Source organism: Homo sapiens, chromosome 6, assembly GCF_000001405.40.
Source record: "Homo sapiens chromosome 6, GRCh38.p14 Primary Assembly".
Classification (NCBI taxonomy): domain Eukaryota; kingdom Metazoa; phylum Chordata; class Mammalia; order Primates; family Hominidae; genus Homo; species Homo sapiens.
The window spans coordinates 159,183,375-159,209,492 of record NC_000006.12 but is presented as its reverse complement, the minus strand read 5'-3'; the positions used below and the strand labels follow the sequence as shown (position 1 = coordinate 159,209,492).

At 42.9% G+C, this 26,118-nt stretch overlaps 1 protein-coding gene across 3 annotated transcripts in view; it reads right to left on the bottom strand.

Moving 5' to 3' along the window:
• FNDC1 (fibronectin type III domain containing 1) overlaps positions 1 to 26,118 on the bottom strand; it is a 102,709-nt gene that overhangs the window by 62,616 nt on the left and 13,975 nt on the right. The window contains exons 2-4 of one of the 3 annotated variants that reach the window (NM_032532.3): positions 11,868 to 12,062; positions 9,411 to 9,497; positions 8,912 to 8,980 (exon numbers count right to left, since the gene is read on the bottom strand). The exons of 1 other annotated variant lie outside the window; for it this stretch is intronic. In NM_032532.3, the coding sequence (NP_115921.2) occupies positions 8,912 to 8,980; positions 9,411 to 9,497; positions 11,868 to 12,062 (351 nt within the window). The remainder of the gene's footprint in view (positions 1 to 8,911; positions 8,981 to 9,410; positions 9,498 to 11,867; positions 12,063 to 26,118) is intronic. One more of the 3 variants, XM_011536190.3, reaches the window with a different exon arrangement.

Here is a 26,118-nt window from a genome sequence, read left to right as displayed (position 1 = left end):
ATGCTGGTGCAAGGCTGCCAGCATCTGTGCCCCCAAGCGGGGTACCCTAAATCCATCAGGACTCTCTCAGGTGCAAAGTAAACTCTTTAAGCTATCCTGGGGCCACTCCATTTCAAAGAGTTTGTGTTGTTTGTTTCACAGAAATGCTGAATCACTCTGTCACTTAACTAAGGTTTCTTCCAACTTCTCACCAAAGTCTATCTAACAGCAGAGAGAATGAATCCCCCCAGCCCAGAAGCCTGGAGCGTGGAAATTCATTCCTAATCTTCATTTTTATCTCAAAATTGCATTTACATTTTGTAGACTACTCCATAATATTTTGGTGTTTGTTTAAAAATTAAAAGTAGCCTGGGCATGGTGGCTCACGGCTGTAATCTCAGCACATTGGGAGGCCGAGGCAGGCAGATCTCCTGAGGTCGGGAGTTCGGGACCAGCCTGACCAACATGGAGAAACCCTGTCTCTAATAAAAATACAAAATTAGCTGGGCGTGGTGGCATGCACCTGTAATCCCAGCTACTCAGGAGGCTGAGGCAAGAGAATCGCTTGATGCCGGGAGGCAGAGGTTGCGGTGAGCCAAGATTGCACCACTGCACTCCAGCCTGGGCGAGAAGAGCGAGACTCTGTCTCAAAAAAAAAAAAAAAAAAAATTAAAAATAACATTTGAATGCCTGGCCATCAGGAAAATTCTCCCTGTTGGACATGGTCTATTGACCTTAGGCCTTCATGGAATCTTAGTTGTGTCACATTCTCCCAAGTTCTGGGGATCCCAGTTTGAGAAGCCCTGAGAATCACAGGTATGGCAGTGGCTTCAGGATGTCACCCAAAATGTCAGTCAGTAGCTGACTTTGGTATTGATCCTAGTGGAGTGCTATGAATATCAAGAAAAACTACTTTGTGCCGTCAGTTTCACAGTACAGGTCTGAGGCTGTGCTGGGCTGCCGAATGCCAAGACGGTGGTCATCCACTGCATTAGTGACAATGAAGAGCTCTACACAGGATGGCCATGAAGCCCTTCCCACGACCACAAGAATTAAGAGGTTCTACAGTTGCTTGCATGGATATGGCTCTCAATTTGTATAGATCATAAGCCTTTTGAGGGGAATCTTTCCCTTATCCTGCCACTGTGTAGGCAAGGCTAGAGTCTCTGTGACCCATCTGTGGCCGTAGCTTATCTCTAGACCCAGAAGACCAATACCAGTTGCCCTCTTCAGCCATCTTATGATTCTGATGTAGACATCGCTGTGCCATCTGCAACAGCAGCTTGGGGTCAGTCCTACCCTGAGCCCAGCTCACTCACTCCCCATCCCCAGCCCAATCCCCACCAACACAGTGTGGAAGGATCAGGCAGCTTCTTTGGGGGACTGGATATGAAAGTTTCCTCCGTTATTGGCGTGAGTGTATAGAGTCATTAGAAGCATCTACTCTAGATCCATCTCGTGGTGCTTTAGTTCTCAGCCATTCCCCTACAGGATTCATGAGGGCCACAGAAAGCAAAGAAAGCAATAATCTTTTTCCAATCTTAATGGCTGGATCCCCACAGTATAACACAGAGATGGCCTCATAGCCTCTAAGCGAAGAGAAGGAGTGTTAAATATTCTAAGGAAAATTTAACACCAGACGTCAGTTCAAAGAGTTTTGATTTGTCGGGGTTGTTTGTTTTAGTTTAAAGTTCTTCTGTATTTGTTTCCTTTGGGAATAGAATGGTAAGTAATGCAGTTGTTTTCTGGCAATCAAAGACCTTGTTTTGTTGAACGTCTATTGGTTACTTCAATTTTTAACTGTTCTCCAACACACACACACATTGGCTTCACTTGCAAATGAAAGATCCAATTACAATATATGAGTAGGTTGATAAGTTTAAAAAGGAAAGTGCTTCCTTTCAGGATTAATATCTGAATTTGCAAGGGTCCCACAAAAGCTGCTTCCCCTCTCAGAGGTATCACAGACCCACACCTGCCCTCTTTTTCTCACAGACATCCAGAGAAAAGCCCAGATATCAATCAGAAAGCAGCAAGTGAACCCCAAGATGCTGGCCTCATCAGAAGTATTAGGTTTTATTAAACTACTGTAGGTTCTTCCAGGACTGGAAGGCAAGTCCAGGACTTGAAGGCAAGTGCTTCATGCAAGGTGGCACAGGCAGGGACCACCCATCTCCCACCTTCCCAGAGCCCCCGCCCCTCACAGTCGGAACAGTCGCTCATCAGCCTCTGAAATAAGCACACATCCTGGTGTCCTAAGAAAGGGCCTTACCCCCACTGCTTGTGTCTTCACGTGAAATGCCTGTGATTTCACCTCAAAGGTAGGAGAAGGCTGTGCCCAATCAATCTCTTTTCTGGCCAGCTAGCTCCTTCCTGCCTCCCTTCCATGGCATTTCTGCTGGGGTGGGGGGGTGCCAGCAGGGACTCCTGAGGCCTTTGCTTCTCCCCAGGGACATCTGGCTAAATGGAGTCAAACAGCTTCTCACACAAACCTCTGTCTCCCACATTTTTATTACCTAAAGAATGGGCTCTACAACTAGCAAAGTCTAGCTGTATTTTAACATGAGAGGCAGCTTTGAAACGAGCACCGGATGAAGAGATCCAAGCCCTTAAGATGGAAGGGCTCGTTCTGGGGCAGTACTTCCTTGGGAGGGAGTAGTGGGCAGGCCACCCCACAGCCCATGGATCTGGCTGTGCAAACACCTCATCTTCATAGACCAGCCAGCCCAAAGAATTCCAGTTTACAGATGCACACATCTTTTTTTTTGGCCCAGGCCCTCACAGTAGCAAAAGACAAGAAGTAGAATCTCTGATTAATGGTAGCACCAATCTGAGTTCAACAAACGGGCTTGCCCAGAACCCCCCGAATCAACATTGAACTAGACAGAGGTGACCCCAATCTTCTCACAGGCACCTCTGCAACGTCCAAGCCCCAGCTGTTGTCAACACTCTTGTCAATGCCCACTCCTCTACCAAGCACAGGTATGGGGCAGAAGCAACCGCCAAATGCATTTCCACTGAACAAATGTCTCCTGAGCACCCACTGTGCAATTGCCCCAGGCTCTGGAGATAGGAAGATGAGTAAATCAAAGCACCCTGCCCTTAAGGAGCTCACCTTCCAGGCCATGAACTTTTGTCCTGTGAAGTGCACACTAAATAAAACTAATAACTGCATGAGAAAGCTACTGTGAAAGTAATGTCACAGACAGCATTAATTCCCCATTGGCCAAAGGCTTTGATTGAAATTGTACTTGGAAAGAAGGCAGTCTTTGATTCATAATTAATTCCTTGCTTTTGAATTGGGGTACATGTTAAGCACGAGTCTGGTGCACAGCAGCTCCACTGCCTGGCTGCAGAAATATCTGGTGGAGCCCTTGCTTTGCCTATTGGTTTACTCTGCCGGCACCTTTTGCACCAAGTGCCAATGACACATGTCAGTTTAAATAAGTTGACATCACCATCTCCACTGGTTCATTCAGCAGAATTCCACCATTGCAAACAGAGGGGAGGACACCCAACAAGGGGGCCCTGGGAGAGGTGCTTTCCAGCATTATCACTGGGGATGAGTCTTTCTTCTGTGTACCTTTGGTGTGTTTTAAGTACATTCTCAAAATGCAGAAATTACAATTTAGCATTTCTTCCTTCACTAATATGACTTTTGAATGCAATGACCTAAAACATTCAAAGTAGGGTAAAAAAAATAGGAAAACAGCCATTTGTTCAGTATGACAAATGGTTTTCTACTGCTCACAAAGCTTAGCATCATTCATTAAAAGTGGAATCCGTCCACTCAGCCTCATAGTTTCATGACATTTCAAAACTAAAAGGAAACTTGGAACCTTAGAAAGAAATTTGGAGCCTAAGAAAGTTCTTAGAAAGGAACCTAGAAGCCTCTTGTTGAATCCCATCATTTCATAGCTGAGAAATCTGGTATTTGGAAGACAGGAGTTGCTGATGGCTGAGAGCTAGTCAGGGCCTGAACCTGGAGCCGGAGCCAGGTGTTCAGAGGTGAACAGTGTCGAGATTATGGTTTGGTGGATTAATTATGCTCTTGAATCAGCAGATTGGAGAGACAGCCATCTCAAGACACTAGGTTTAGAGTTTTCAACTTCCACATCAGTCATATTTAAATAAACCAGCAAGATCATATGCCTTAAAGTTGGTGCTCATTTTGATGAAATACTGACAGAAAAGGCCAAAATACAAGTCTGGGGTATACATGTCCCATCAATCTGTAGCTATGCCCATGAAAAGAGTGCTAGATAAGAAATCTTTACAATGCCAAACTTTGTTTTTTCATGTTTTCATAGTTTCATTGTTTTGGTATCAAATAATTAGTTCAACAGTAGGTATCAACTTTCTGAACCAGGCACTGGGAGGGATCCAAAGATGAATCCCACCCCAGATCTGCCCTCAGGTCTACCATGCTTTCCAAGAAACTGATGTAGATGAAGTCAGCCTTAAAGAGAAGGTGACAACAGCCCTTCCCTAGAGCCAGCAGGAGGGCAGGGAGCAGTGAGGGTTCAGGAGGGAGAAGAAGGGAGAGGGGCAATGTCAGCTGAAACCTTCATCCCCCCAGGGAAGCAGGAAGCAAGTCACCTACTAGAAGTGAAAGGAACCCAGGCCAGGAAATGGGCTGGAGCACAGTGGTGACATTTTGGACTAGCCACTGTGGCATAAAGAAAGGAAACTGTGTGAGGACAATCAGGAAGTGGCCAAGCAGCACTGAGGACCTGGATGAAGTGAGAAAACCAGCTCTGACAAGCTGTTGTAACTCAAATCAGATCAGCTCTTCATCTGTCTCACAAAGCCCAGCCATCAGCATGGCAGACAGAGAAAGCTAGATAGCTGGGGGTCCTGGCAGAGCGACGGGCAGAGGTAGCACTGCAGCAGTGAGGCCGCTGAAATGACGGGGGCAGACCTGCATGTGGAGTGTGGTTGGAATGATGGGACCTGGATAAAGTAAAGAAGAAACAGGACAGCGGCAGCTTCTGGACCCCACAGCTGGGAAGGGTCTACAGGTCCAAAGTCTACTATGGTCTGAAATTAAGCTTCTGACGTGAGGGTGTTGAGGAAGTGAGATGATGGTGATCAGATGGGGATTCCAGGAGTCTAGATTTTGGAAGGGATCAACTCTATCTGTAACTTTAACTCCATGAGGGGAGGTGGCAGTTAGAGCCAGGAGGTGAGAATATCAAATGGGTCATTGTCATGGATGCCTGGAATACAGACCCACTATGCGGCAAGTGCCTGAAGTTGCTGGATTTAGGGAGCAACCCGGAAGTCAGTGGGTGACCAAGATAAGGAAATGTCTGGTCCGCAAGCGATTGTCACGCAGCATCGTCTGGAAATGGCCAAGGAGTAATTGTGGACTCTATGCTGAACTTGAGTCCAAGCTATCGTTTGTCCAAAAAAATGAGCAAGCGTCGCGAACTAAAATATAATGTAAAGAAAAATGAGGCAGAAATTAGACTTTGATTTCAGTACTAGGCCTAGTTTAGGCTCCAAAACTTGAGAAAAGCACAGAGGACTTGATTTTTAGAAAAACCTTAAAAATGATTAAATAGATATGATCATATTCAGAACTATACTTAACCAGAACCTAATACTGTTTCCCAAATGAAGAGTTTGACAAAAGCTGACTAACTAGCTGGGCTGAGGCCCTAGGCTGGCGGGTAGCAGAGTGGGGATGTGTCTGTGTCCCTGTCCTGACCCCCAGGGCCTGGCTCTGCACTGCCAGGTTACCCAGATCCTGTTACACAAAAAAAGCCAAAACAACTTGCAGAAAAGAAGTCTGCAGAAAAGCTCCATAACAGTATTCCAATAAATGAACAGACTTGTGACATCTCTTCCCTGGGGACAGAACAAGAGGATACAGGTTTCCATCCCAGCAAGAGGGATTCTGCATTAAGTACAAAGAAAGCTTTCCGGCTCGGAGAAGTGAGATGAGCAACACAAGAGGAGCCAAAACTGCTGCCCTCGTGCTGCATTCTCGCTCGATCCTGTCATTTCCTGAGTGCTGAGAGGTTTCATATTTGGACGACTGACCAGTCTGGGAATTGCTTAAGTCTTGCCCAAACTCCAGGACTCTCTGGCATGGTCCTCCTCCTCCTCCCCACATGGCTTCACCCTCACAGTCTCTTACGATCTCAACTTGGTGCCACCATCTTATCAGTGTCTCCTAGGCTCCCAAACCGTCACTCCCATCTGCTTATTCTATATTACAGTACTGCTTATTTTTAAAATAATTCATGATGTGTTATGGGCTGCATTGTGCCCCCTCTGCCAAATTCATATGTTGAAGTCCTAACCCCAGTATCTCACATGTGAGCATATTCAGAAATAGAGTCTTCAAAGAGGTGAGTTAAAATGAGGCCATTAGGCTGGGGCCTCATCCAATTTGACTAGTGACCTTATAAAAAGGAAATGTGGACACACAGATACCAAGGATGCATGTTCACAAAGAAAGGCCATTCAAGGACACAGCAAAAAGGTGACCATCTACAAGCCAAGGATAGAGGCCTCAGGAGAAATCAAACCTGCCAACATCGGGACTTTGGACTTCTAGACCCAATAATCAAGAGAAATAAATTTGTGTTTTCTAAGCCACCAGTCTGTGGCATTTTGTTATGGCAGCCCCAGCAAATTAATAGATTATATGCAACATTTTGTGCATATTTGTTTGTTATCTTTCTTTCTCATTGGAATATAAGTTTCATTGAGGTGATCCCTTGTCTAGCTTGTATCTCTAACACCTAGACCTCCGCCTGTAATAAATTAATTGAATAACTAAAGTCCTATTTTTAGGTAAAGACAATTCAGTTGAGATAGCTGTAAGCCTGCAAAAGGAGGTCTTCTGGAATCAGAACTGCAGCCATTGTTTCTAGCAGCTTAAAAGAATGGATATTCCTCTGGTTTCTAATAAAACACAGGAAGGATGTGAGACCCTATCAGTCAAAGCACTAAAGTGAATCCCTTTGGGCCTTACACCAGGTGCCCATGCTAATGTCTGCATTTTTGAAGGCAAATTCCTCTTTGAATGAAGACAGGGAATTCTGAATACTTCTTTTGTTTGGCAAGATTGTCATATATTTAACAATTTCTCGGAATAATAGCAGATCATATTTTCCAAGCCTCATCAAAAGGTATAGATACATGGTGATCACTTACTGATAACTTCACATAAATTATTATTTTTATTAACAATGAAATGTAATTTGTGAAGTACTTTAACCTAGTCTGTGCATTCTGGATATTCCTGGGTTTTTTTTGTTGTTGTCGTTGTTGTTGTTTTAAGTTCTGCTTTATATTACATGCTTCAAGTGGTTTGAGCCAGCAGTTTCTTCTGGTATCTTTTTTAATCACCATGTATGACAAATGAAACATCATGTATTATAGCAGAGTGGTTTGGCAACCAGGGCCTGCAAAGCCTCCTGCAGATAGAAGTTCAATAATCTCACAATACATACAACCAATAATGAGCTGGAACACGGCTGTCTGATCCCTGGTCCCCAGGGTTTCTGCTCACTTACTCAGAAAGGTCATACACATGTGTGCACACACACTATTAAAGAGGGCATAAGAAATTAATTACTTCTGAAAAAGCAAGAAAATCACTTGTTCTAAAGCTATTGTCATTCAAAAAACTGTATCAGGAAGGATGTAAAAATAAGACGCTTATTTAAAACACAAAATATAAGATTCAAATGCAAGGCACACACATCCATCAGTAAAAGGTTCACACGTGTCTGTTTACATGTGTGTGTTCAGAGGTAAACAACCTCTGAAAATAAACACCTTTTCTTCTTTTGCACACTTGCTAGCTGTACTAACTTGTTGACCATTTTACTGAATTTCCATGGTTTGATTCCTGGCCTCCTGATCTTCTTTCTGCTAATCCTCAGCCACTCATGAGCTCTCTACTTCAACTTTTGCCTTATAGCATGACTCCTAAGTCCATGTCTCGTTCTTACTTCCCTCTTCCAACTTCCATTCTCTCTTCTCAAATCAGCTACAAGACATTTCTGTTGCAACACCTCATAGTCATTCAAACAAGAACACTTAGTCTCTCCCCAAAAGCCAGTTTTCTTTTCTGATGTTTTGTTCTTCCACCCCCTTTTCATATAGCATGCACTGTGAAGACCACCTACACTATCAAATCTGGTCTGAAAAGCAGATAATCATCATTGGTTTCATCATACTCACCTTCCTGTCAACAAGAACTCCAGATTGATATATTTAAACACATGGCATGTGAAAATAAAACACAGCTCCTCACCATAGTGCTTTTGAGATATTACCCAACCACACTCTGAAATAACTGCATTCATTTTACATTATTTTTTCACCATCAATTAAATATATTCAAGAAACACACAAGAAATGTCAACACTTTTCTCAGTAAGTAAAACAATATGACCAGACAACATCAACATCCAAATGAGAAAACAAACAGATACACAAATATGGAGCAGAGATGGAAGGTAGGTCGTCTAACATATCACAAAATATCCCAAGGTTGTAAGAAAAAAGCAAGACTTGAAGCAACATGTTAGCCCATAAAAGCCACTATTTTGGGGGGACCCCATTCATTGATTCACTGGTAGAAGAGCTATAAATATCCTAATCTGGTCAGTACTGCCATCTCAACCACCATATTTGCCTATGAAGAGGGCAACAATATCCCCAGATGTAGACGCAGACACTTCCCCACGCGAGAACATGAAAGAACGGTGAACAATAAGCAACACTGGTTACAGTCTAGTTCATTGGATGCAGAACAGATTGACCAAGACTGTGTGGCGTGTGTGTTAGTTTAGCGATGGGAACTCAGTGAAGGTTTGTGAGCACATGTGTGTGACGGAAGCACAACTCTCTTGCGAGACGATGCTTCAGTGAAAACATGAATCTGACATGAAGGAGGAAGTAGTACCTGTGACGGTTTCATTAAATGGTCCTGGACCCTTAATGGGAAAACCATCAATCTCGATCCATTCACCTCCTAAATTAGGGAAATGCAACTTGATAGTTAGAAACGAGGACTGTTGGGTTTTCCACATTACAGTGCATCCATAATGTATAATTAAATGATCTTTTCAACCATCTTCAAAAGGATCTGCTCAGCCCATATTAGTGACTGGACACCTCAGCTTTACGGACAATACATATTTTAGGTCTTTTACACATGGTTTACTCAGTAAGTATTCAAAACATCTGGATGAAATGCTAATAACCTACATTAAAACTATTTTAAAAGAAAGGATAAGCCTCTTCCACTTTTCAATCTGTCAGCTTGCTATACAAGTCTAAAAAGTTCTTGTTCAAAAATTATTTAATAACTCTAAATTTATATTTACTGGAAGAAGCAAGGAGGGATGTCTCTCCCAATCTAAGTAACAACACTACAGCCTCTGATTCTAGATAGGACTTACCAGGTGGGCTTTCAGCTCTGTAAACAGGACGGCTCACTCCACTGTGGTTTTCTGCAGTAAGCAGCACAAAGTACACTACCCCCGGCTCTGAAACATACGGTTCATATCAAGCCACCAATTCAGATCTCCAAGAATGACACAGTTTCACTCACTAACCATGCATAACCATCTTCCTTATACCAGTTATAACCAAATACAAAAATCCAAATTCAGTGACAAGCATAATGATAGATGTCTCTCTTTTTTTAAATTAAAATCACTAACATTCTTCTCATGCAACTGAAAAACACATGACCCAAAGAACATAAACTTTATTTCATACAAGGTACATGCCATGTGTAATAAACCTGGATTCATCAACACTCAACAAAAAGAGCTTTTGAAGGTTTTAATGTGAAATCCATGTAGGAAACAGGAACTCCTTGTCCACTAAATAGGTGTTTGAACATACACTGTCAGTCACTACTAATAATCCTTCCCCATTAGAGGCTCCAAATGAAAATCTCCAGAAAATAATAAGAAATGTCAATGTAACCCATAAAATGTAGCACATGGGAAATCTTCACTGCAATACATAAAGCTTCATGAAATTTTCTCCTTTTCATAATAAAATATTCCCCTTACTATGTCTGCATGTTGTTTTTGACCATTCCAACAAAAAGCTAGAAAAATATATATATCCTGGAGTCTTGGAAATGCTAATCTTGACATAACTGGGCTTCACTTTTTGACTTTCATCTAGGGGTCAAGGCCAAATAGCAGAGGTCTCTTGGGCTGAGCTCCTAAAGTTGATGGGATGGGAAAGGAAATGAAGACCCATGTTACAGGGGAGGGCACCCTGAACGTGTAGCTCTGCAAGGTAAAACCCTACTAAGTACTAGGTTTCCTGAAAATGAATCACTGTCTTGTGACAGGTAAGTGGGGTACCAATTTCTTGAAGAGACGAAAGTCTGTGGGTATTTCAGGGGACGAGAGCTGGAGAGGTGAGGGTTAGTTCTGTCAAAGGTCATAATGACAATGACATTTCTCAAAGTAGGGAGCATTATTATAACAAAACTTCACTCAGTCCTCAAGCCAGAGGCCCATGAACAGAAGCCTGGCTGATGCCCCCTGGGATGCCTGCTGTGATCAAGACTGGTGTGACTTCTGTCTCACTGTGGCAGGGCCTGGTGGCATTCAGGGTTTGGCACGACCTGCCAGGCTAATGGGGAAATGCCCGGGGGTCAGACAGAATGCAAAATCATGCTTCGCCAGACACTTTCTCTCTTTACTCTGAGCTTGTTTGTATTTCAAAGAAATTTAATCCACATGTGTTTGATACCCATACAGTTAACTCATCAGAAAGTTGTCTGGGAGATACTATTTGTTTTTTAGTGAGCTCTACGACTCTCTTTTCACATGTTTTTCTTCTCTGCAGCCATCATAACAACCCAAGGTTTGAGCAAGGAGATATGATCTGCTCACGCCTTTGATCTGATAGAATCTCCATTTAACTTCACAGCTGGACTTGGGGAGCCAAGGTGACGTGGAAGAGATTAAGGGAAATGGACATTTAGCTGAAGCCATGAGGAAGGGAGTCTGTCTTCCTTCATCTCCCTTTTATAAACTTTCTGCTCTGTTACCCAGGAAGCGTGATGTCAAATGCAGGAGGTGGAGAAGGAGTAAGTGTGGTCAGCTGTGGTCAGGGGACCAAAGCTGAGGAGCCCATGATCCACTAAAGGATCAAAGTGCTAAGGTGGCACAAGAGGAGACCTGTTTCCTAAATGCTGACTTCTCTTCCTTCCTTATGATCCATCTTAATGTTGGGCCATGACATGGTTCAAGAATCAATGGGGCTTTAGGTTACTGGAATCAAAAATAGAAGACAGAGGATTCAGAGGCAGCTCGAAGCCTAAGCCCAAAACCAACTACATCTGCACTTAATAAGACAAAATATATTGAGGCAAAATCTCAAATATTCCAAACCTCCAGAATCAAGTTAAAGTCAAATTTAAATGGGGCAAAGTGTTACATCTTTAACCAGACGTGGCTAGGCATAACGTATTCCACATCTCCAGGGGCATACGACTTGCCCAATCCCTGATTATAAAATGGCATATAAGTTCGAAGTCTCTAGATCAGCCCACTCAGTTGTCTAGCAGTGAAGTTTCTATGAAGCAAAAAAGGATCAATCTACTTTCTGAAAACACATTCAGAAACTAAAAATCATCTGCTGCATCAGTTTGGAAACAGGAATACTTGAGTTCACATGCACGGATGGGGAAGCCCAAGTGTCCCACACCGGCTGTCAAACAGCAGCCTCCGACAAGCATCTCAGAACTCAGCTCTCCATTCCCAAAGAACCGTAAGGGACCTTGAGCCCAGCCATGGGTTGTCTCACAGTCATCCTAAGAATGCAACTGAGAATGTTGGTGCACAGTTAATTCTGACTGGGAACAAGATCAGAGTGTCACTTACCCACATCCTCAATAAGGAAGGAGTATGTCTCCGCATTCACCTTGATGTATTTAAGACTTTTCAGTGACTTCCCATAGGCAATGTTGTAATGCTCCACAGGTCTACTGGTAGCATCTTTGGGTGGGTCCCACGTGACTTTCAGGCCCATTTTAGTGGACAGCAGTTTCACATGCCTTGGCTTCAGTGGGTGGTCAACTATGTAAACAGCGCAACTATCAACTCATGGCAATAACAGATTGGGAAAACGAATTTTTTTAATCGTCTTTGATATTGTTAGGAAAACAGTAAATGACGTTTAATCAGTATGATCCGAAAGACTTTAAGGATAGTCATGTATTTGCACAGCATTACAGTGTGACAACAAAACAAATATACCAAACCCACAGGCCTTCGTGTATTTTGGATAACCGTAGGTGGTAAATTTAAACCAAAAGGGAAATAAATCAATATAAACTTTAGGCATTGTCTGGCTTGATTACACTGTCTTGCTAGTGACAGAATAACAAATCAGTAATTTGCCATACTCTCCAGTAGCATTTATATAGTAAATAAGTTATTAGTATGTTGTGTGGTACAGTTGGACAATCTTTAAACGTCTCGGAGAGAACAGCATAAAACTGTCCTGATTAAGAAAAATATCCATTGTATTCTAAGTGAGATAACAGCAGCATTCATTTCCACAAAGAAAACAAACCAAGATCATCAACAGCTTAAAGGGCGAGTAAAACTCTGGTTCTATCTGCATATGTCTAATTTAAATGTTTCCATATTGTGTTCCAGAAGAAAAACAAGTTAGTACCAAGTACAATCACTTTTTTATCTTGACTTATGAGGTTCCAAAGAAATTCACTTCATTTTCAAAATTACTAAAGTGAAACATAACATTTTGTCAAACAAAATCTCTCTACTCACTATGTAACTGATATTGTAATGCAACATAATATAAATGTGTGTGAAATATTCAAGCAACAGTCAAACAAATCTAGGGCAAACCTGGAACTGAAACTGACTATTGAGTAAAGCATGCTGCAAGAAAGAAAAAAGTAACCTAAAAACAAAACCAACAACCTTTAAACAGTAACTTTAAGAAAAACGCATTTGGAGTCTCAGGGAAGAAGAAAAGAAAAGGAGCATGTTTAGTGATGACACATATGTGAGTTAGTATGTGATTTTAATATTGGATGAAAATTCTGAACAGAATAAACATAGATAATTCTAACACACATCACTCCTCCCAAAATTGCCCATTGCCTCTGGAGTAAAATGATTAGCAAGGGAAAGAACTCCTTAGAGAAATTCAAGGGATGAAAGAAGAGTATGAATTTGAGGATTTTGAAGCGTTAGAGAAAGAATGTCTATTCTGGAGACAGAAGCATGATGTTAGGGTATGGACAAAAATCTACAAAGCATTCCCTCCCAACTCCAGAGGTGAGGTTCCTGTAAACCTGTGAGGGAGGAATCACAGGTAAGTAGGCTCATGCTCTTTGGGAAATTTTGAGTTGGGAAGACTATGAAGACACCAATCATTTTCTAGGCATTTAAAATTAGCAATAGTGGTTACTGTTCTTTAATTTTCATTTACCTTTCCTTATCTACAAGCAACTTCAGCAGGAATCATTCCCAGGAATCCAACATTTCACACTGACTAAAAGGTGTGTAGAAGCAAAACAAGATATCCGAAAACTACAAATGGAAGCTCATGGTTGAGTGTTTCTCCCAAGGAAGAATATAAATGAATGAATATACATATCGCACTTTTCTTTACAGCAAATCTCCCTCAAGAAAAGTGAGATCTTGAATAGACATTCTAAAATGTGAGAACTGTAAAACCTAAATACTGTCACATTTTCTACCAGGCACTAGTGATTCAATCAGTACACAGCTACCTAGGCCAGAACATGATTTACTTTTATTACTGACACATGAAAAGAGCAATTTATAAATATTTTCATTGTTCTTCTCTGCGATACCTTGCATTTGTCGTTGGACACAGCACAGAATAATTTCTGTGCTGAGTCACACAGCTACACCAGGGATGGAGCCAACTACAAACATGGCTTTGCCCAACTCCAAAGCCCAGCTCTGCCAGAAGCTCATGCTCCCTCGGAATTGGTCTCTTATTATCAATGATCGATGACCATATCCACTGAAACATACTATCCTAAAACAAATTGTAAGACCTCCAGAGCTGTTTACCACCCCACCACCCTCCACCCCACCTTCCCCCACCATCTTCCTCTCTTGGGAGCACTCTTCCTCCCTACCCACCACAATCACTTCACCTTGGGCTGCGCATCCTCATCGACCTCTCTCTTCTGGAAGGAATGGAATAAGTGAGTGATGTTCTCTCTCAGGAATTTGCATTCTTATGACAAAACTTTAAACCAGAGGAGTGACTTTCTAATGGTGACAATTTAAGCCTTAGAGAGTTACCTAATGAAGGTTCTTTTTAACATAAAGGCCTTTTGGGGACTCTGAAACAAAACCCTACAGGCAACCTTACCGTCAATCTCCTTATAAGATCAACTCTGAATTTAAGGTTCTCAAAATGCCTTAAGCCAAATATCGCGACCTCCTCCTCCCACCCACCGCACCACACACAGACTGGACCTGTTAAACAAAACGCTTGACCTGATGAGATATTTTCATTTCCTGGATTCCCATTGACTTTGATATTAAAATTGATGTCATTTTTGATGCTTCATGCCTAACTCGTCCATGCCTAACTCAGAGAGAACTGGACAAAAAGACAAACAGGAGACCCAGATAAAAAGCAATCCTGCCCATCATTCCAGCCCTGCCTCTCACCCGCAGTGCCTCAGCTCTGAGTGAAGTCATCAAACCAGCATCTAACTAAGGGGCAGTCATTCTGGCAAGCAGAAATCAATGTGCATGAGCTTACATTACTTGACTGAAAACTTATCCTTGGGGTTAGAAGTATGACAGTTTGTTCTATTCCCGATCATTGTTTTGAAGGTCTCATGAGTGCAATCCTTCAACGTGAAATAAAGCTATAAGGAATGTGAATGTGGCTTCGGGCTCTGTTGGTTGCATTCTGAGTTCTGTGTTATGGAATCAGCACTCTGATAGCATAAAGATGAAATATGACAAAGTGAGTCCCTTGTTTATTTTTAAGTATTCTTAGAAACTTGAACAGACCATCCTCTCTGCTGGACAAATGAATCATAGAATCTTTGTAATCATTTACAGTATTCTCATCTAATGAAGATGATATAGGATACATTCTTTAAAGCTATCTATCCATGCACTGGGTCTCTAAAGAAAAATGACAAACCCAAACATCAATTCAACAGGAATCAAAGAGTCCAATAGAAGGAACATTGGGAGGAAACTTCACAGTCCATGCATGACAGGTAGGGCCATGACAAGACGCTTTTTCATATTCACAGGATGCAAAATGAGGAAATAAGCTTAAGTTGTAGCCTAAGGGAATTGGGTTAAATGAAAAGAATTTCCTGTCTGTGTCCTTCCTCATTCAAGACTGTCTTTGAGTGGAGACAGATGGTAAGGTGCTCCAGACAGAAGAAGAAAGCCAGTAAGAGCCTGCTATGACTCCAAAGATTTCATAACACAGCAAAATCACTTCCACAGTTCATACCAGTAAACTTTACTCAGATTCAAGAATATTTTGCTGGGGACTGAGTGGCAAAATAATATTTTGGTGGCCGTTCAGATACCCAGCAATTGCCAGGCTAGACACTTCTGTGCCATAGCTCCCATGGGGAATATGACCTCTATTGGTTTGCCGGAGAATGAAAAATAAGGGCACAATCCCCACCTAGATTTCTTACTTTGGTCTAGCACCAACTCCAGAACTTATCCAAGAGGGCCCAAAGAGGCCAGTTTGGTTCAAGGGTCAAAGTATGGATCCATGACTGCTCTTAGATAGATGGATTCCAAGATTCCAATGGCTCTTCAATGTCTGTCCTTGAAGAGTCTTCAGTTTGCACAGACAGGCCTCCAGAGATTCCCCGGGGTTGCTGACATGCTGAGCCCAGAACTAAGCCTGAGTCCAGCGGTAGGTCTCTGGGCCAACCTGACCAATATCTGCAGGGTCTGTTCATCATAGTAGATGGGGCACCATACCTCATCTTCTCACTCAGGGCTGCCCACACACTTGGTGCTCACTTAAATGGTTTATGGTTGAAGGAAAGGAGGTAAGACCAACAAGATCAAATCCAGGAGTCTCCAAGGACCATGCCTACAAGTAATGAAGACCATGAAATGCTCACAAGGGCCATGAACCTCCAGCAAGTGACATCTATGGAGAATATATGCTCCATCTAAAGGCACAATTCAGTTTAGGTTCCGGTGACGAAAAGAAATTCAGACAAAAGGTGTCCAGGCTCCACATTGTCAGACATTCTGGGATTTTTTTCTAAGAAGCTAAAACCCTGATTTTTGTGTGAAAACTCCCAATTGTGTATTAATTGGTGATTAACTCCATTAAAAAAAAACACTATGTAGGGACACACACACACATACACACATGAGCTGTTGGACTCAGTCCACTGGTGGCCAGTCAGTGACCTCTACCTTGACCCCAGAAGAAATCCTTTAGTTGTTGACCCAGACAACTTCCTCGTGTCCAATTTCAATTCAGAGACTCTGTGAATCTGGGTCCGTGAGGAAAGTCTATGAATCAAGATGAAAGCTAAAGTCTGGAGAGGAACTAGACCAACCTAGCCCCTGAAGGCATCAGGTACAGATCTGTCCAAGGAATCACATCACACCCCCAGACCTCCCCTCCCTCCCTCTAGAGACCGGAAGGCTCTGAAAAAGCTGTCCTGGGCTCCAAGAAGTAGGGAGATGCATCCCAGGAAGCCTTCAGGGAGAGGAGTGTGGGATGCTACACAGGCTTCAACTACCAGCAAAACTGTTGACTTCTGCATGTCTATTTCTGGCCTAACCATTCCAGACCAATATTCCCTTACTGTCTATATGGTCCAATATGAGTTTCAAACTGAACACTTTCAGAATGAAATTCAATATCCAATTATTCAAAATCTTGGTTCAGACAACACCACCTGTCCAAGCACCTGAATTAGATGTTCAGCATCATCCTTCAGTGTCCAGGCATATCCATGGTGGACGAAAATAGGCATGCTTCCTCTCAAGGGAACTCTGTCAAGCACTATTTCTCAGAATAAAGAGAAGGAAGGTTCAGAATCAGTGAATAAAGTGAACCAATGGTAAAAATAATGCCATAATGACACAATTCATAAGAAATCATGCTGAGAAAACTGTGATTTGAAACAGTAACTGAATCTTTCTGGATTAAAAGTGTTGCTTTTGGTCTTGGTTTTGTTTCAATTTTTTAATGACATATAGTTACTTCATTAAGTTCTCAAGGTAGGTAAAAGGAAAAAGATGAATGGATGGTAGATTTTAGAGGTGGGGGCAGGGGTGGTTATAAGAGCATGACATGGCTGAGCGTGGTGGCTCACGTAGGTTATCCCAGCACTTTGGGAGGCTGAAGCAGGTGGATCACCTGAGCCCAGGAGTTTGAGACCAGTCTGAGCAAGATGGTGAAACCTCATTTCTATATATAAAAACAATACAAAAAAATTAGCTAGACATGGTGTCGTGCACCTGTAGTCCCAGCTACATGGGAAGCTGAGGTGGGAGCATTGCTTGAGCCTGGGAGGGCAGGATGCAGTGAGCTATGGTTTATCATTATACCACCACACCCTAGCCTGGGCGACAGAGTGAGACCCTGTCACAAAAAAAAAGCACGACTAATCCAGGGAGAAACAAAGAATAAAATCATCTTCTATCAGGCATAATTCCCTTGAATATGCTCCATTTTAACTTTGAAATGCACTGATTTTAGCCAAATGTTCTACAGCACCAAAAGTGTTGGCTCAGAGTCAGCATTCAATAAATATCAGGTGAATAAATGAATACTTTAAGTGTGATTTACAGTCAGTCTACCATTTAGAAACAAAATAGCAACTGATAAGCATGCTTACATTTTTTAATTCTGTGATTGCACTGAAACAGAGCTTACCACTCACATAATCGTTGTAGATAATGAAGTTAAAATACACAGCTGAGGTTTCAAAAAATCCACTAACAAAATGTTGAATAGGTAAAACCAAATATTTTCTGAGTTAATGAGTTATGGAACAGTTGCATGAAAAACAAATGCTATTTCTTCTTTGATTTTTCTACCAAGTATTCCCTGGAGAAAATTACTCAAGTAACTAAAAATCCATTTGATTTGATTTGAAAATCAAGTCTTAAAATAATAGATTTGAGTTATCTTTGGATCTCAAAACTGCTGGTCCCACTGTACTTAGACAATTCATTGATTCCTAGGACCCATCTCTTATAGTGATATGGTTTGGCTCTGTGTCCCCACCCAAATCTCATGTTGAATTGTGATCTTGAGTGTTGGAGGTAGGGGGTGATGAGATCATGGAGTGGTTTCTAATGGTTTAGCACTATCCCCCTAGTGCTGTCCCATGATAGCCTCACAAGATATGGTTATTTGAAAATATGTGGCACCTCCCCTTTCGCTCTCTTGCTCCACCATCGTAGACGTTCTTGCTTCCCCTTTGCTTTCCGCCAAGCTTGTAAGTTTCCTGAGGCCTCCTAGCCTTGCTTCCTGTACAGCCTGAAGAACCGTGAGTCAATTAAATCTCTTTTCTTCATAAATTACCCAGTCTCAGGTAGTTCTTTACAGCAGCGTGAGAACGAACTGATACAAATACCAAATGGAATACATTAGGCCAAGCAATAAAAGGGCCTATATATTTCTAGTGTGCTGATCAATAACAAATTACGTTTCAGTTTCATTTCCCCAGGCTAAATGTATGAAGCACCCGTTCCTGAACTTGAAGCATGGGGCACAAAAGTGCTCATGATGAACATTTGAGTTCAAAACAAAATTGAACAAACAGATAAAAGAGTCAGAAAGCAAAATATCAGGTTTATTGCTGACAAAGCTGAACTGGAGAATGTGGGCTCTAACGTGTGGCCACCATTGTGCTTCCTACCTCCTCGTCTCCCTGCTCCAGCTCTGGACCACTGGAAGACCCAGAAGGAGACTGCAGGGCAGACTACTCAGCACGCAGCTTCCCAGCTGTGGACAGAGAGCAACCGGCCTAGACCTCACCCCATGAATTCCCACAGGGACGTGGGAGTGGAGCCAAATGGAACTTTCCCGTAGGAAGGCAGACCTGAGAGGAGACACTCATGCCTGGGGCTTCTAATCCATTCATGCCACCAGGTAAAGAAAGAAGGCCGACCAGGCTGTACTCCTCCCAATCACCCTCGGCTGCAGCGTGGAGTGCGGGACAGGGGACAGGCCAGAAATGTCCTCTGTTGTGCTCTATGGCACCACAGTTCCTCTCCTTGGAAGCTCCCTGAACATCCCCAGCTGGTTGTCCCTGACCCCACTGGGTGCAACGGTCAACCTATGGTCAAGCTGTGGCTGCCCCTCAGGGCGAGGATGAGGACCACCTCGCGCCACCTTCAGGCGATGCCCTGGATTCATCAGTAACCTGCCATGTATCTTCCTGGGATTAAAGATGGGAATACCGCCCCTATCAGGACCCCAGAAGGCTTTGACATGGGTAAAACTCATTCTTTAGCCAACTCCAAAGTCAAGCTGACCTCCAGGCTGAAAATTTACTGCTGTCCTGACCTATTCCAATGCCAAATTTTGCCCAGTTTATGCTATCCAGAAGAGCCCAGCACAGTCCCAGGAATGAGATGACATAACAGCATGACAATCTGTTCATAACACAATACAAGCAATATAAAAACACCCAGATTTTCACAGAAATCCCTCCCATCACAAAATTCCCAGGGGAAATTTAAAGTCCAAAAGTAGTGCTGTCTTTGTCTTATAGCTCAAAACCGAAAGAAATTAAAGTCCAAATAGCTTTCCTCCTTTACTTCTTATACTATTCGGCCTCAGCCAGGGAAGAGTCTTTCCAACGCCCAGGAGGGGTGAGAGTTCCCTCAGCAACTGTGGCCTCTGCCATCATTCACTGAAATCGGTGCCGTTTCTTCAGGGTTCCCTGAAGTAAGAATAAGTGAATCCAAAGCGTCCTGCTTGCCTAAATTCTTAGAGTCCTCCACACAATCTCTATAAGGAAGCCAATCCACACTGTATTGTGGAAAGAATACACATCATTTCTGTCTATCCAGTAAAGCTCCCCTAATTCTTCTGGTAATGGACGTGTGACCCCAAACTGCCCAGGGAACTTCCCAGGAATTTTTCTAACTGGAGCTGGACTGGAGATGTGGCCAGTACTTTCTACTCACGAGGCTGTGGAGGAAGAATCCTGACATTGCTGGTGACCAGCTCTTGCTGTCACATTGAGAAGAGACCAGAGGTGAGGAGAGAGTTCCAATGATGCTTACAGCCCTAGTTCTAGGCATCCCAAAGGCCAGCTGGCCCCCTGCCTATCCCATGGTATAGCTCCAAGAACCAATGAATTCTGGAATTTAAATGAGCTCAAGTTGGGTTTTTGCCATCCATAGTCAGACCCCGATGGGCTAGAACATTATTAATCAAGATCTTCTATGAAAATAAAAATTGGCCAGGTGCAGCAGCTCACACCTATAATCCCAGCACTTGGGGAGGCTGAGGTGGGCAGATCATCTGAGATCAGGAGTTCAAGACCAGCCTGGCCAACATGGTGAAACCCTGTCTCTACTAAAAATACAAAAATTAGCCAGGTGGGCATGGTGGTGGGCACCTGTAATCCCAGCTATTCTGGAGGCTGAGGCAGGATAATCGCTTGAACCTGGGAGGCGGAGGTTGCAGTGAGCTGAGATTTTGCCACTGCACTCCAGCCTGGATGACAGAGTGAGACTCCATCTTAAAAAAAAAAAAAAAAAAAGTAAAAATTAACATTTTTGAAGCTACCCCCACAGCCAGTGTATTTGGACGCACTCAAAGAAATTGAGGCGGCCGGGCGCAGTGGCTCACGCCTGTAATCCCAGCACTTTGGGAGGCCGAGGCAGGTGGATCACGAGGTCAGGAGATCGAGACCATCCTGGCTAACACGGTGAAACCCCGTCTCTACTAAAAATTCAAAAAAAAAATTAGCCGGGCCTGGTGGCGGGCACCTGTAGTCCCAGCTACTCAAGAGGCTGAGGCAGGAGAATGGCATGAACCCGGGAGGCGGAGCTTGCAGTAAGCCAAGATTGCGCCACTGGACTCCAGCCTGGGCAACAGAGCAAGACTCTGTCTCAAAAAAAAAAAAAAAAAAAAAAAGAAAGAAATTGAGGCAGATACCACCTGGTACGACTGCCATTCCTAGTGGAGCATTCACAGCAGCCCACCCAGCCTGCAGCAAATGCCAAGGAGCCAGTGAGGACAGACTAAGTTACAAAGAAACTCCCAAAGGAATGTTAAGGGCTTTGGAAATACACTGGTCCAATAAAACCCCAAAAATGCTGAAGTTATTTCTTAAGTATACCAAAGATTGCTCTTTAATGCAACAAACCCTTCATGCTTACGTAAGTCTCCCTACTTCATCTTTGTTTGAAGTTCAAGTTTTACTTTCCATTGGAAACCGCCAAATACTTCCCAGACTCTGAAATGAAGAAAACACAGATCTCAGTGTAACCACATCTTGGACCAAAAAGTCAACAGATAATCAGCCAGAAAAGGTTAGGATGTACTACAATAGCAGTATAGCTTGGAGGTAGGAATCAATGTGATATACGACATAGAGACTAGGATTCAGAGGAAAGGTGGAAAAATGAAGCTATCATTCATACGATACAGGACAGCACAGAAATATTCAGAAATTCAGAAACATCAGAGGGTTGACAACACATGGGCAAAATACTAGAACGACTCAAATGACTGACCAAATTTTAAATATTTTTTCAAATGGATGTTGGAATTATATTTGGCAAATATTTATGACCCAGACCCCACCCAGAAAAAAGAAAACCCTGGAAGTCCAGGTTGTTTTGTGGTTCTGTGATGTAAAACTAATACTAGTAAAATTTGCAGATGGTGGATTGAATTTTCCCCGAGGAGGCTGCTGTTGGGTAGACACAGTCTGGGTATGAAAAGAACCCCCTGGGTCCCCTTCTGACATTTCTCAATATGCATAGGGTTCAATAGAAGTGTTTTCCACAGTTGGCATTGGGTTCTTTAAGGATAACTGTACAAAAAATAAAATCAAACCCTAGCTCTTTGGAGTCTGAACTTATTATAAAACACACTAGGGAATGGAAAGAGCTTTGCAAACAAAACTCTGACACCACCCAGCGCTTTGTCAGGTCAGAGGAACATCAAGGCAAGCAGGTGTCCCAGGTGCCACGAGAGATGGAGGACAGCAATGGAAGCAGATCGTGTCCTACAGACTATCCCTGGTTCACATTCCTCACTGCCCAATCCATTTCCCCATGAAACTCTAACTTACTGGATTCTACTCCAGGCCCCAAAGCGCCCTGTTATGTTCACCTGGGGAGGGTGGACACTGGTGGAGTGAGCAGCTCTGCCCTAGGCTGCAGGTCCCCATTACTGGCTGCAGCCAATACTCACTCCTGAGCAGAGGAGCCAGCGGCACTCCTGGGCTCACCTCTCCAGCCACCGCAGCCCCACCTAAATTCCCCGTGGTTGTCACCAGCTATTCTTCCAGCATTTTGATAACAACGCATTATTTTATTCAGACAAAAAGGCCAAACTTTCATGCATGCATGCCAATGTACTTATAAGGGTACACTGGATAGTCACTGAATACAGTTGTGAATCACATTTTTTCTTCATCATCTCAAAGAAGCCAAATGGTGAAGCCATCCAAATCTCCAAAGGGGAAACATTGGCCAATCCTTAAATGGCATTTGTCAGATCAATTTCTATCCCCTCCAGACTGTCAGCGCCACCACCACCTCCACGCGTTTCTGTGTGAGCACTTTCCACCTCTGGTGAGTTTCAAGTGGCTGCATGTCAGAGTGATCCTCACACCTGGGCTTCAGTAGACTGCATCCTGTGCCAGAGACCCCTGTGTCTCTGGGCTCTGCCTGGGAGCTGCATGTCAGCTTGCCATGCAGGCAACTGCCAGGCATGCTGCCTTACATGAAAAGGTCCCATGGAAAGAGCTTCCAAGGTACCTGGGCAGCTCACTTTTGCCTCTAGGGACCTCAGGAATTGGCTCCCAACCTCCAGCCAAGTTCACCTGCACCATTGCACGATGAGGGCAAACTAAGCCTTTCATTCAGAAGCACTCTCATTATCTCAAGGGTTAATGGCTCCTTATGGACAAAGTTTGCCTAGAATGTGTTAGATTCTAGGTTGTTTGTTTATTTGCATTTCAGGGGAAATTGGAGCAAAGAGAAAGAATATTCATTAATATAGTTTATCTTTCATTATTCCCTTTCATTATCTTCCTACTTTACTCCCTCCTTCCCCACCACCCGCCAACTTGGAAAAGATCTACAAAGCAGAAAAATACAAAAATGGAACAGTAAAATGAAACATGAAGAAATTCTGTTTCAAAATAAACTGCAAGCAGCAAAACTAAAATCAAACTCTCAAGCCAATAGGAACTGACTGTAATTTGCTCAGAGAATAGTCTTAAAATAAATCTCCCTTATCCCTCAAGATGTTTCTGAGACATTTTAAGCTGGATTTTTATTAGTCCCATTCAAGTCCAGTTTCCCAACTAATATATAACCGTCTGACAGATTGCATTAAATTCAGAAACCACCACCATAGACACTATGGATTGGCTACCCAAAAGCTATTCCCAGCTTCTTTCTCCCTTGCCTTCTACTACAGAGGCCAGAATACTAAACATTCAGTCATGACTTTTCAGCTTCCCTTGCAGCTAGGATGGCCATATGATCAACTCTAGCCAATGACAGACATAGGGAGGTTCGTCCTGCCATTTCTCAGAAAGCATTTTAAAGGGGTTAGGTTTGGCTGTTATGGGCTGGTGGCCTTTTGTACCTTCCTCCTTTTTTACCCCTTGGGATGTCAACATGATACCTGGTGATGCAGCTGCCAACTTAAAACATGGAGTGACAATCTTGAGAATGATGACAGCAAAGTGGAAAATGGAACAAGGCTATGTGTCCATAACCTTGTTAAACCATGGGACAGTCCCGGTCTCTCTGCTCCCAAGTTTACTGGTGAATGAGATAAACAATTCTCTTACTTGTTTAGCCACTGTTAATCAGATATCATGTTGTCTGCAGCCCAACCCACTGCTACCTAACATCACTTCTGGATTTGTAAAATCAAATCATCTTCCTGATTTTTAAATGAGAGCTGCTTTGGTTTAATTTTCATTACTTTCTGTTTGTTATTTTTAAGGGATCCCCTCTGGGAATTTAATTTTGACAATTTCAATGCTTATTTGTCAGTAGGCCATTGACTTGAGTAATTACATCTGCCCAGAGAGTGATGCAGCCATAAATCAGACTGAACTCCACCATCAGATCTGGCTGAATTCAATCATTAGGATTTGAGGTTTTAAAGTTCTTGGCCATTTTGTTTAGGATCCAGTGTAAGCAAAAGCTACCGTTTCAGAGCAAAAACAAGATTCCCCCCCCCCCACCCTCCATATAAACCACCAGCTTTCCAGAATGGTTTAGGGAAATGGAACTGGAGGAATTCCATAAGTATATTTATTTATAACAATCATAAGAAATAACAGGCCCTAAAGAGCAAATGCCTATAGTTGGGAAGGGCTCATGCCTTCCATTGGCAGGCAACAGAGACCCAACTAGAAGCCAGTACTTTGCAGGTTTTTGTGGAATTTTTTCGCACATTCTTCAGATTCAATTTGTAACCAAGAAATAGTTTCTTAAAGAATGACCATTGTTTGCTAGTCCAGCTAGTCTCAGCCTACTATAAACTGCTTGGCATGCCAGACCAAAAACCACTCCCTGAAAATTTATTCCTTTTCCCAAAATGTGAAAGTCATTGTCTAACTATGTTAAACACTTGGGCATTACTGTACCCAAAATCACCACTCATATTACTCAGAAAGCTCCCTGAAAAACACCCTTAGAAGAGAGGCCAAGCAAAGGTTCTGGAGAGGTAGGTTTGAAACACAGTGAATGAGACAGACATGACCAAGAGCCAGCTACCACATAGGCCCAGTGACAACCCCACTTGCTAATGAGCCATTTTTAAAACATTTCAGATAATAAAACTCATTTAATGATTATGAATGGGCATAGGTAAATTATCAATAAAAAGGGGAAAATACACTACACACCTAATAAACTAAGAGTTTAAGTTTTGGATCCGTTTGTAATATAGAAAAAAATATTTAAGGAAGTAAAAAAGAAAGGAAAGGAACATTTGCTGACCACCTACTTAGTGCCAGCCATTTCATTCATTTATGGAACAGAGATTTACTGAGTGCCTACTATGTGTCAGATTCTAAGCAAGGAACTGGCAATATAGAAGTGATTTAAAATGAGCTGTGTTATCATAACTATTTTCTCTTTGATCCCCATTTCAAAGCCTGTGCACTGCACTTTGGTGTTCGCATTTTTATAAATAAGGAAACTGAGTCACAGAGAGTTAAGTGATTTGCCCAAGGGCACACATCTAGTAAGTGACAGTCAAGCTCAGACCCATCTGAAACTATGGACCATGCTCTTTCTACTATACTTTGTTCCCTCTCAGCTGTAATTATAATTAAAAGCAATAAGTATAAACCCAGAGATAAATCAGAACCAAAGATATAAAACTGAAAGCCAGTGGTGGCAGCTGAATTCATAAGGACACATGAGCTCGTGCCCTGAATGGATCTTGTGAACGCAAGATTTCATGCTGCCAAATCTTCATCTCTTGCTCCTCAGCTTACTCTATGTCCGACAACAGTGAGCGCCTCCTCCTAGAAGCAAGTCTTCTCAGGTCCTCCCTGACCACTAGACTAGCTTCTGGGATGCCACACTCCCTGGTTTCTCTTCCACATCATTGGTCACCCCGTCTTGGTCCCCTTTGCCAGCTCCTCCTCCTCTGCCAGAACTCTAAATGGTAGAGCACTGCAGAGCCCAGCTCTGGCTTTCCCTCTTCTCTACTGCACTCCTTCCTTCTCTACCCATGTAGCACACCTGGTGCTATGACTGCAAAGACCATCCATATGTGGAAGGCTCCTGAATTCCCAACTCCAGCCTGGCTTCCCCTCTGAGCTCCAGTGTGTCCAACTGTCTACTTGACATCTCCACCCAAAGAACGCAGAGGTCTGAGGGATGACAGTTTAAATCTGAAATTTTAGTGGTAGGAGAACCA